The sequence below is a fragment of the Homo sapiens genome, chromosome X (assembly GCF_000001405.40).
Source record: "Homo sapiens chromosome X, GRCh38.p14 Primary Assembly".
Classification (NCBI taxonomy): domain Eukaryota; kingdom Metazoa; phylum Chordata; class Mammalia; order Primates; family Hominidae; genus Homo; species Homo sapiens.
The window spans coordinates 1,879,002-1,890,714 of record NC_000023.11 but is presented as its reverse complement, the minus strand read 5'-3'; the positions used below and the strand labels follow the sequence as shown (position 1 = coordinate 1,890,714).

Genomic DNA, 11,713 nt, shown 5'->3' with positions numbered 1-11,713 from the left:
CATGCCCTAGAAACCATTCATTCTCGTTTTATTTATTTGTTTTTGAGACAGAGTCTCTCTCTGTCACCCAGGCTGGAGTGCAGTGGCACAACCTCGGCTCACTGCAGCCTCCGCCTCCCAGGTTCAAGTGACAGGAGATAAAAGTGTGAACCACAAGGGCAGATCACCTGAGACTCTGTTACATGCGTGAGTTTTCAAAAACGTGTTAAAAATATAGCCGTCCAAAATGCACCTTCTTTTGGACTCTCCAAGTATTTATTTTAGCCTGGTGATGTTTCTTCTCTCCAGTGCTGTTCCGAAGGGGCCAGAAGGACTCAACTCCAACTGACTGCACTATTCTCAGTGCACCCAATCCCACAGCCCGGCACAATTGACATCGTTGCGTTGCGTGCTGACTGTAATCATGTGATTTTTGGTGGGAAATGCATAAATGCAGATGCTGAAAGTAAATACAGCTGTGTTTTCCTAGTGTGTCCCTGTTGAAAATAATTTTGGATAATTTGAGCGATTGTATTTCATCAACAATGTCATTAGCAACAGGTTGGAGGGTTTTTGAAAACACAATGAACCAGGCGGGGTGGCTCACGTCTGGAATCCCAGCACTTTGGGAGGCTGAGGTGGGTGGATCGCTTGAGGTCAGGGGTTTGAGAACAGCCTGGGCAACATGGGGAAACCCCATTTCTACTAAAAATACAAAAAAACTACCTCGGCATGGTGTAAAAATTATGGAGTAAAAATAATTCAAGTTGTGAAATACTCCGTATGATACAATTTATCTACAAAACTTACAAAAGCAATCTATGTTGCTATAAGCACTTATTAATAATTATATATATTATATATGTCTCACATGTACAGAAAAATATATACAGACGTATAGAGTTAGTAATATGTATTTATAGACACACATATCATATGCACAGTTTGAGTATATACACATCTACATGTACAAACACAGTTTGTACACACACACACACACACACACATAGACACACACATACACACACATCTCAAAATAGCATTTCCTGGGCAGGGTGGTGGGCACCTGTAATCCCAGCTACTCGGGAGGCTGAGGCAAGGGAATGGCTTGAACCCGGGAGGTGGAGGTTGCAGTGAGCTGAGATCATGCCACTGCACTCCAGTCTGGGCAACAGAGTGAGACTGTGTTTCAAAACAAACAAACAAAGAGACAGCCTCTTTTCGATGCAAAATAGAATAACACACGTCACCCATCCTGGAGCCCTAGATTTCCAAGTTAGTTGGTGTCTGGACCTCTGAGAGGGAAAACATCCAAAAACGATTTAGCCAGGCAGGCACGGGTGGCCCATGTCTGTAGTCCTAGCTACTTGGGAGGCTGAGGCAGGAGGATGACTCCAGCCTGGGCGAAACTGCAACAACACCCTGTCTCAAAAATAAATAAAGATTAATACAATAAAATGAAAACCGAATGAATGGAACAGAAACAGGGCCTCCTCTCTATGATTGTACGGCTGCATATTGAAGGGAGATGGGTCTTTTCCCATCTCCTAGGTGATGTTTGTTCACAGTTCATATAAGAGATTTACGGCTGGGCGCGGTGGCTCACGCCTGTAATCCCACCACTTTCGGAGACCTAGGCGGGCGGATCACGAGGTCAGGAGGTCGAGACCATCCTGGCTAACACGGTGAAACCCCATCTCTACTAAAAATACAAAAAATCAGCCGGGCGTGGTGGCGGGCGCCTGTAGTCCCAGCTACTTGGGAGGCCGAGGCAGGAGAATGGCGTGAACCTGGGAGGCGGAGCTTGCAGTGAGCCGATATTGTGCCACTGCACTCCAGCCTGGGTGACAGAGTGAGACTCTGTCTTAAAAAAAAAAAAAAAAAAAAAAGGGAGATTTATAAGGAAGTCACTAAAGGCTTTATTAATAATTATTATTAATGTGGTAAAAATCACATAACATAAAATCCACCCTAACTTTTTTTTGTAAGTGGTTTGGCAAATACACCTGCCACACAATTCCAAGAACCAGCAATTTGTCAGCAAGTCAGAATCAGACTATTCTTACTTCTGGCCTTGAGAGGCTGCTTCTCAGCACAGGCAAAGCTGGATATAAAGACAGAAGGGTACAGATAACCGGAGTGAGGAGTGGGACGATAAGGAGATAAGCTGTCCTCATTCGTCTAAACCTGAGTGTCATTGCGGAGTCAACCACCACGTGCTGTACGTAATCTGCTCCCTTTGTGGGGACGATGAGAAGTTTCTGGAACCAGCGTGAAGCAAGGACAATCCCCAGGGCAGAATGACTAAGCCACCAGGAATTCATTGTGGGGACGGTGAGAAGTTTCTGGAACCAGTGTGAAGCAAGGACAATCCCCAGGGCAGAATGACTAAGCCACCAGGAATTCATTGTGGGGGTGATGAGAAGTTTCTGGAACCAGTGTGAAGCAAGGACAATCCCCAGGGCAGAATGACTAAGCCACCAGGAATTCATTGTGGGGGTGATGAGAAGTTTCTGGAACCAGTGTGAAGCAAGGACAATCCCCAGGGCAGAATGACTAAGCCACCAGGAATTCATTGTGGGGACGGTGAGAAGTTTCTGGAACCAGTGTGAAGCAAGGACAATCCCCAGGGCAGAATGACTAAGCCACCAGGAATTCATTGTGGGGGTGATGAGAAGTTTCTGGAACCAGTGTGAAGCAAGGACAATCCCCAGGGCAGAATGACTAAGCCACCAGGAATTCATTGTGGGGACGGTGAGAAGTTTCTGGAACCAGTGTGAAGCAAGGACAATCCCCAGGGCAGAATGACTAAGCCACCAGGAATTCATTGTGGGGGCCGTGAGGAGTTTCTGGAACCAGTGTGAAGCAAGGACAATCCCCAGGGCAGAATGACTAAGCCACCAGGAATTCATTGTGGGGGTGATGAGAAGTTTCTGGAACCAGTGTGAAGCAAGGACAATCCCCAGGGCAGAATGACTAAGCCACCAGGAATTCATTGTGGGGACGGTGAGAAGTTTCTGGAACCAGTGTGAAGCAAGGACAATCCCCAGGGCAGAATGACTAAGCCACCAGGAATTCATTGTGGGGACGGTGAGAAGTTTCTGGAACCAGTGTGAAGCAAGGACAATCCCCAGGGCAGAATGACTAAGCCACCAGGAATTCATTGTGGGGGCCGTGAGGAGTTTCTGGAACCAGTGTGAAGCAAGGACAATCCCCAGGGCAGAATGACTAAGCCACCAGGAATTGAGCCTAACAAATATTTAAGTATACCCTACGGTATTGTTAAACGAACATACCTAGGACAGGTGCGGTGGCTCAAGCCTGTAATTCCAGCACTTTGGGAGGCCAAGGCGGGCGGATCACGAGGTCAGGAGTTCGAGACCAGCCTGGCCAACATGGTGAAACCCCGTGTCTACTAAAAATACAAAAATTAGCTGGGGTGGGCGGATCACCTGAGGTCAGCAGTTCGAGACCAGCCTGGCCAACTTGGCAAAACCCCATTTCTACTAAAAATACAAAAATTATCTGGCCGTGGTGGTGGGAGCCCATAGTCCCAGCTACTCGGGAGGCTGAGTCAGGAGAATCACTTGAACCCAGGAGGCAGAGGTTGCAGTGAGCAGAGATTGCACCACTGCACTCCAGCCTCGGTGACAGAGCGAGACTCCGCCTGAAAAAAAAAAAAAAAGTAAGCAGTGCTGCTGATTTCCACAATCAATATGACATTATTCTGACCCATGGGGAAACATGGCAGGAAACCTCATCCCGAAGCTTTTCCCAGGAACCACAGCCCTGAGCCATCTGAGAAGGACAGAGCCCTGGGAGGCAGGTACCTGAGGGTATCGTGCAAAGCAGCCCTGTTCAAAAGACCCGGATCCTGGGGACCAGGTAAGAACAGGTGTGTCCCAGAGCAGCCTCTGCCTCTCAACAATATCCAGCGTGCCAGGAGTCAGGGCCCCTGGGTGTCAGTGCGGACTCCTGTAACGTCAGTGACCTTCTAACCTCAAGCGGGTTACAGCCCATCCCTGGGTGTTAGCTTTTGGGGCTATGATGAGGGGACATGAGGAAGACTGTCTCAGGGGTCTCTGCATGCCTGCAGGGCTGGTTCCCTATAGATAGGTAATGGGCAATGGGGCCCTCACTGCTGGGCTGGGAGGAGAAGGGATTTATGGATATAACAACAAGGGACCGAGTGTCCTTGAAGCACAAATAGGACATTAAGAGGTGGTGGGAAGAGCGAGTGTCTCTCTAGCTTCAACCCTCTTCCTGTTTGCCCCGAGAATACTCACGGGCTGTACTTGTGGCAGCAGCATTTACTCTGAGATAACACTGCCACACGTATCTTTTGTTTTTTTTGAGATGGATCCTCGCTCTGTCACCCAGGCTGGAGTGCAATGGTTGTGATCTCGGCTCACTGCAACCTCCGCCTCCTGGGTTCAAGCAATTCACCTGCCTCAGCCTTCCGAGTAGCTGGGATTACAGGCGCCCGCCACCACGTCGGGCTAATTTTTGTATTTTTAGTAGAGATGGGGTTTCACCGTCTTGGCCAGGCTGGTCTTGAACTCCTGACCTCAGGTGATCCGTCCACCTCGGCTTCCCAAAGTGCTGGGATGACCACCGTGCTCAGCCTCAGTATCTCATTTTTATGATTATTTTCTCATCATTCTAATATGTCAACTTTGGAAACGGAAGACGTCATCCTATTTATACCATTCTGTCTTAATAGTGGTATTTCCATTTGAAATATAATCATTCTCGATCGCTGAAAATGTCGAATCCTAGAAAACATATCATTGCCGCATGTGATATTAACATCGTTCTACAACAGTTGTTGGCTGAAGGTTTGTTGGATGAATCCAATTTTTCCAAACCAGATGAGTCTGATGATTCAGGCGATTCTGATGTAACGTCTTTTTAGAAATAAATCCTAGAGCAGGTTTTATATTTTACGTTCATGTTGAAAATCAGTTAGATTTATGATGGAACATGTTTATGTAAAATTAAATGCGTGCTGGCCGAGAGACCTCAGTTTATTTTTCTAAATGAGAAACATCTCCAACTCACCTTCTCTCTCTAGGGTGCCTGTGTGATACCAGATGATGCTCAAGGCCCCCTGAGTCTCTTCCCCAATTTTAAGCCTGTCCCCAGCCCAGAGGTGTTGACGCCCTTTGCCATCATCTACCTTCTCAGCCTGTGGACGCACTTGGCTCACTCTTGCGTTCTGAGGACCTCCATGGTGCCTGATACACAGTAGGTGCCTAATCACTGTTTTCTGGAATGCTTCCATGAGCTCACCCCAGGCAGAGCAGGGCTCTGCCTTCCGCGGAGCTGCCTTCCCCAGCTCTGCGCTGGGCTCCAGGGCAAAGCAAATGGGTACACGAATTTGCAAATTTGCATTTCTGCATCTCCACCGTTCCATCGCCCCCGGAGTCTGACTCACACTTCTGCCGTATTCTCTTTCTCCGATCGTCTCCCTCATGCCTTTATTAGTCCACAGCAGTGTGCAGCAGGCTGCTGGATGCTGAAGAGATAAAGGATCGTGGCAAACAGAAGGGGTGCAAATCCTGAGTCCCAGTACCTACGAGTGAAACCCTGTTTGGAAACAATTTTTTTTTTTTTTTTGCAGGTGAAACTAACTTAAGATGAGATCATCCTGGATTAGGGTGGGTCCTAAATACAACGACAGATGTCCTTCTAAAAGACAGAAGAGGAGACACAGAGGATGAGGCCACATGGAGACGGAGGCAGAGACTGGAGTGATGCGGCCACAAGCCCAGGGATGCCTGGAGCCCCCAGGAGCTGGGAGAGGCAGGAAGGACCCTCCCCTAGAGCCTCTAGAGAAGGCTAAATGAAATTGTAATGAATTCAACTATTGTCCACCAGAAAGATATGTCCACACCCTCACCCCCAGAACTTGTGAATGGGAGCTTACTTTGAAATAAGATCCTTGCAGATGCAAGTAGTAAAATATTTTAAGATGAGATCATCCTGCATTAGATGGACCATGAATCCAATCATTGCTGTCTCTATAACAGACAGAGGAGGAGAACAGACACAGAGGGTAAGGCCGCATGGAGATGGAGGCAGAGACTGGAGTGATGTGGCCACAAGCACAGGGACACCTGGAGCCCCCAGGAGCTGGGAGAGGCAGGAAGGACCCTCCCTGAGAGCCTCTGGAGGGAACTGGATACAAGTGAAGTAGATTGAACTGTGATCCCCCAAAAAGGTATGTCCATGTCCTGATCCTCAGAATCTGTGACTGAGACCTTATTTGAAAAAGGGGTGTTTGCAGATGTAACTAAATAAAGGACCTTAAGATGAGATCATCCTGAATTATCTGTGTGGTCCCTAAATCAATGACAGATGTCCTTCTAAGAGACAGAAAGGAGACAGACACAGAGGAGAAGGCCATGTGGAGACAGAGGCAGAGACTAAAGTGACGCACCCACAAGCCCAGGGACACCTGGAGCCCCCAGGAGCTGGCAGAGGCAGAAAGGACCCTCCCCTAGAGTCTCTGGAGGGAGCATGTCCTTGAGATACCTTGATCTGAGACTACCAGCTTCCAGGACTGGGAGAGCATAGATTCTTGTAGTGTTAGCCACCGAATTTATGGCATTTTTTTGCAGGAACCCCAGGAAGCTCCTGAAGCAATCCGCCCTTCCATCTCTGTGTCTGGCAGACACTACTGTGTGATTCCAGCGGGACAGCACCCACCGCACTCACCTTCATTGCTCAGGGGGAAGGAACAGTCAGTCAGCTGTGAGTCACCAGAAGCCAAGAGCTTTCTCAATTTAGTTGTATCAGCTCTTCCCGGCAGCGTGTGGATTTCCTGCAAAAGTGGCCTCATGATTTACTTAGGGAAACAGCTCCAAGGATGGGAGACGGCTGCTCTCCACAATTTCCCTCCTGCAGCTAGGAAGGAAGTCAGGACTGTTCTGTGGGGTAAGTGAGATCAATAGCGTGCTTTCTTTTGTTTTGAGATGGAATCTCGCTCTGTCACCCAGGCTGGAGTGCAGTGGCTCCATCTTGGGTCACTGCAATCTTCACCTCCTGGGTTCAAGCGATTCTCCTGCCTCAGCCTTTTGAGTAGCTGGGATCACAGGTGTACTGATGATTAATAAAGAAAAATAGAATTAAATTGATGATGCTGAGAAGATATTTTTAAAAAAGACTGATTGTATTCTGTTTACATGATATGCATGTAAAACAAAATCACACAAACTAATTAAAAACAAAACAAGAGGCCAGGCACGGTGGCTCACGCCTGGAATCCCAGTACTTTGAGAGGCCGAGGTGGACAGATCACCTGAGATCAGGAGATCGAGACCATCCTGGCCAACATGGTGAAACCCCGTCTCTACTAAAAATACAAAAATTAGCCAGGCATGGTGGTGGGTGCCTGTAATCCCAGCTACTCGGGAGGCTGAGGCAGGAGAATTGCTTGAACCCGGGAGGCGAAGGTTGCAGTGAGCTGAGATTGCACCACTGCACTCCAGCCTGGGTGACAGAGCGAGACTCTCTCTCAAAAAAAAAAAAAAAAAGAAAAGAAATGGAAATATCGGGCAAGAACTAGTCAACATCCTGCCAATGAAGTAACATTCGTGTGTGGTGCAAGAGTGTTTAGGGAGAAAAGCTTGCAACAATGTATTCTACAACAGTAAAAGTAAAACTGTTTGAGGATGATGTAAGAGGTCAGTGTTCAATTCCCTGTACCATCATTAAACAGAAATGTGTGAAGAACCACAGAATCAACCAGGTCAACTTGTTCAACGTATTGAGATTGCAAATATATTATGGAGTAAAAATAATTCAAGTTGCGAAATACTCCATATGATACAATTTATCTACAAAACTTACAAAAGCAATCTATGTTGCTATAAGCACTTATTAATAATTATATATGTTATATATGTCTCACATGTACAGAAAAATATATACAGACGTATAGAGTTAGTAATATGTATTTGTAGACACACATATCATATGCGCAGTTTGAGTGTATACACATCTATGTGTACAAACTGTGTGTGTACACACGCACACACATGCACACACATCTCAAAATAGCATTTCCTACTGAATGACGACATTGTCTGGTGACAAAAAAAGAGGTGCTTAACTTTATATAATATTACACATTTCAAAGTTGGATATGTTCACAAATTACTTACATAAATAATAATATTACAGAATAAACAATTCCCTAATAATTATTATATTTTTTTGAGACAAAAAAATTAGCCAGCTGTGGTAGTGCATGCCTGTAATTCCAGCTACTCGGGCGGCTGAGGCAGGAGAATGGCTTGAACCCGGGAGGCAGAGGTTGCAGTGAGCCAGGATGGCGCCACCGTACTCCAGCCTGGGCAACAAGAGGGAAACTCCACCTCAAAAAAAAAAAAGGTAAAGGCACAAACAACAGTCAATGGAATATATTCGGACAAGTATCCTCTCAAAAATCAACACCATGCTGAGGTCACATTTTTGTGATTTGTATTTGAATTGGAAAACAGTGACTACATCCTTTTAGCCCAAATCATGCTGAAAGCAGTATTTACAACTTACTGCACACAGTGTTGCTAACCAAATACCATACTGAACACTAAATCAATCGTTAGTCACGATGCTGAACTAACTGTAATGGATAACAAGTAATCGGGATGCCATAATTGCATCTATCCCGACTATGTACGAAACCCACAACGCCCTGATAACAGCCCCTTTTCCCCAAACTGTGGGAATTTCAGTTGCTTTCAGATCCAGCTGAACTTCATGAGATTCGCCAAGCAGTGCTTTGGAGCAGGAGTTGTTAGTAAAATAACAAGTAGGGATCTTTAGGAAAACTCTAAAAATTTGCTCATTTACACTCTGTGGATTGTATTTTCACAACAGGCTACTAGGAAACAGCCCTTAATCCGAAGTGGAATCTAACATCTGGGAAATCAGCCGTATTTGCCTGTGAGAAAGAAAGGGAGAAGCCATATTTACATCAGCCCATGGTCCAAGGTCAGACAAGAGTCCCTTGCTTCTCTATGAAGCCTCAAATTTTCTCTTTCTTTTTATTTCTCTGTTTCTTTCGCCATCCCTTCCTTCCCTTCCCTTCCCTCCTTGCCTCCCTTCCTTCCTTCCTTCCTTCATTCCTTCATTCCTTCCTTCCTTCTCTCGCTCCTTCCTTCCTTCTCTTGCTCTGTCCTTCCTTCCTTCTCTCGCTCCTTCCTTCCTTCTCTCGCTCCTTCCTTCCTTCTCTTGCTCTGTCCTTCCTTCCTTCTCTCGCTCCTTCCTTCCTTCTCTCGCTCCTTCCTTCCTTCTCTTGCTCTGTCCTTCCTTCCTTCTCTCGCTCCTTCCTTCCTTCTCTTGCTCTGTCCTTCCTTCCTTCTCTCGCTCCTTCCTTCCTTCTCTCGCTCCTTCCTTCCTTCCTTCCCTCCCTTCCTCCTTCCCTCCCTCCCTCCTTCACTCCTTCTTTCCTTCCTTCCTTCCTCTTATTTTCCTTCTTTCCTTCCTTCCTTTTATGTTTCCTCTTTTCCTTCCTTCCCTCTTTTTCTTTTCCTTCTTTCCTTCCTTCCTTTTATGTTTCCTCTCTTCCTTCCTTCCCTCTTTTCCTTTTCTTTCCTTCCTTCCTTTTCTTTTCCTTCCTCTTTTGCTTTTCCTTCTTTCCTTCCTTCCTTTTTTGTTTCCTCTTTTCCTTCCTTCTTTCCTTTTCTCTTTTTCTTTACCTTCCTTCCTTTTTTCTTTTGTCTCTTCCTTCCTTCTTTCCTTCTTTCCTTCCTTCTTTCCCTCCTTCCCTCCTTCCCTCCTTCCTTTCTTTCTTTTCTTTTCTCTTTCTTTCTTTCTTGCTTTCTTTCTTTCTTTCCTTCCTTCTTTCTTCTTTTTCTTTCTTTTTCCCTTCTTTCTTTCTGTTTCTTTCGCTCCTCCCCCATCCTCCTCCTTCCCTCCCTACCCCCTCTTTCACTCTTGCTTGCTTTCTTTCTTGCTTGCTTTCTGAGACCTCTTTCCACATGTGATGAAAGCTCAGAACCCTCCATCTAGACATGGTGCAGACATACTCATACGTGCAAAGTTTTGCACCTAATTTCAGATGATTCATGAGGCCCCCAGCCCCTTTCCTGGACCCTATATTCCAGAATAAAATTTACCTTCTACCTTTCACACAATTTCTTCCGTGACCTAGGAATTCGACAGCGAAGACCCAAGATACTTCCAAGAGAAAGGCACGGTCCATTGAAGATTCTTTACAACCTCGGAAAGGTAAAGAGAGTCTTTATTTATTGAAGATGAAGATCCCTGAGTATTATTTTTTATGGCACCTCCGTGGGCTATGATGGATGACCCTGAGGGTCTCTCCAGCCCTGAAGTGAGACGGATTTTTCTACTGAACCACGGCAACACTGAATAGGAGGTTGTCTCTTACCTCTGTCTGTTGATTTTCACTGTTTCCTTTCTCTTTGTGTTTTAAAATTTTTATCTTTTGTGGGTACATGGTAGGTGTATATATTTATGTATATGTTGTGTGGATATATAGTAGGTGTATATATTTAGGGTGCGTGAGATTTTATTATTATTATTATTATGCTTTAAGTTCTGGGGTACATGGGCAAAACGTGCAGGTTTGTTACACAGGTATACATGTGCCATGGTGGTTTGCTGCACCCATCAACCTGTCATCTACATTAGGTATTTCTCCTAATGCTCTCCCTCCCCTATCCCCCCACCCCCCGGCAGGCCCTGGTGTGTGATGTTCCCCTCCCTGTGTCCATGTGTTCTCATTGTTCAACTCCCATTTTTCACACCCAGACTGGGTGTGTCTGCGAGGGTGTTTTGGGAAGAGATGAGCATTTCAATAGGTAGACTGAGTAAAGACCACCCTCACCAATGGGGATGGGTACTGTCCTCTCCACTGAGGGATTTGCAGAGAATGAAAATGCAGATGAAGGGAGACTATATTCTCTTTTCCTTACCTGGAACCGGGACCTCCAGCTTCTCATGCTCTTGGACATTGGTGCTCCCAGTGTTTGGGCCTTGACCTCCGTTTTTGTATACATCAGATATCACACACAGTCAACATGGCATAATTCATGTTCAATGCACCGTGCAGAGAGGATGTTTTGATACAAGCATGCAATGCTTCATAATCACATCATGGAGAATGGAGCTTGCATGCCCTCAAGCATTTATCCTTTGTGTTACAAACAATCCAATTATACTCTAATATGATTTGGCTGTGTCCCTACTCAAATCTCATCTTGAATTGTATCTCCCATGATTCCCATGTATTGTGGTGTCCCCAACCAAATCTCATCTTGAATTGTATCTCCCATGATTCCCATGTATTGTGGTGTCCCCAACCAAATCTCATCTTGAATTGTATCTCCCATGATTCCCATGTATTGTGGTGTCCCCAACCAAATCTCATCTTGAATTGCATCTCCCATGATTCCCATGTGTTGTGGTGTCCCCACCCAAATCTCATCTTGAATTGTAGCTCCCATGATTCCCATGTGTTGTGGGAGGGACTGGGTGGGAGATAAATGAATCATGGGGCTGGTTTCCCCCAGACTGTCCTGGAGGTCGTGAATAAGTCTCATGAGATCTGATGGTTTTATCAGGGGAAACTGCTTTCACTGGGCTCTCATTGTCTTCTGCCTGCCACCGTGTAAGATGTGCCTTTCTCCTTCCACCATGACTGTGAGGCCTCCTCAGCCATGTGGAACTGTGAGTCCATGGAACCTCATTTTCTTTATAA

The 11,713-nt window shown here is 45.9% G+C and overlaps 1 long non-coding RNA gene across 1 annotated transcript, besides 1 other annotated feature; it reads left to right on the top strand.

Moving 5' to 3' along the window:
• Window positions 2,297–3,084: an enhancer, noted in NCBI's record as "H3K27ac hESC enhancer chrY:1956524-1957311 (GRCh37/hg19 assembly coordinates)". NCBI's record gives its function as "activates a minimal SCP1, AML or CMV promoter by ChIP-STARR-seq in primed H9 embryonic stem cells {active_cell/tissue: H9 hESC(primed)}" and the evidence as "EXISTENCE:reporter gene assay evidence [ECO:0000049][PMID:30033119]".
• LOC107985677 (uncharacterized) lies at window positions 4,888–11,200 on the top strand. The gene is made up of 6 exons (XR_007068381.1): window positions 4,888–5,226; window positions 5,603–6,202; window positions 6,603–6,918; window positions 8,250–8,376; window positions 8,866–8,979; window positions 10,142–11,200. It is a non-coding gene; the product is annotated as an uncharacterized LOC107985677 (long non-coding RNA).
• Window positions 11,201–11,713: the final 513 nt, after the last annotated feature.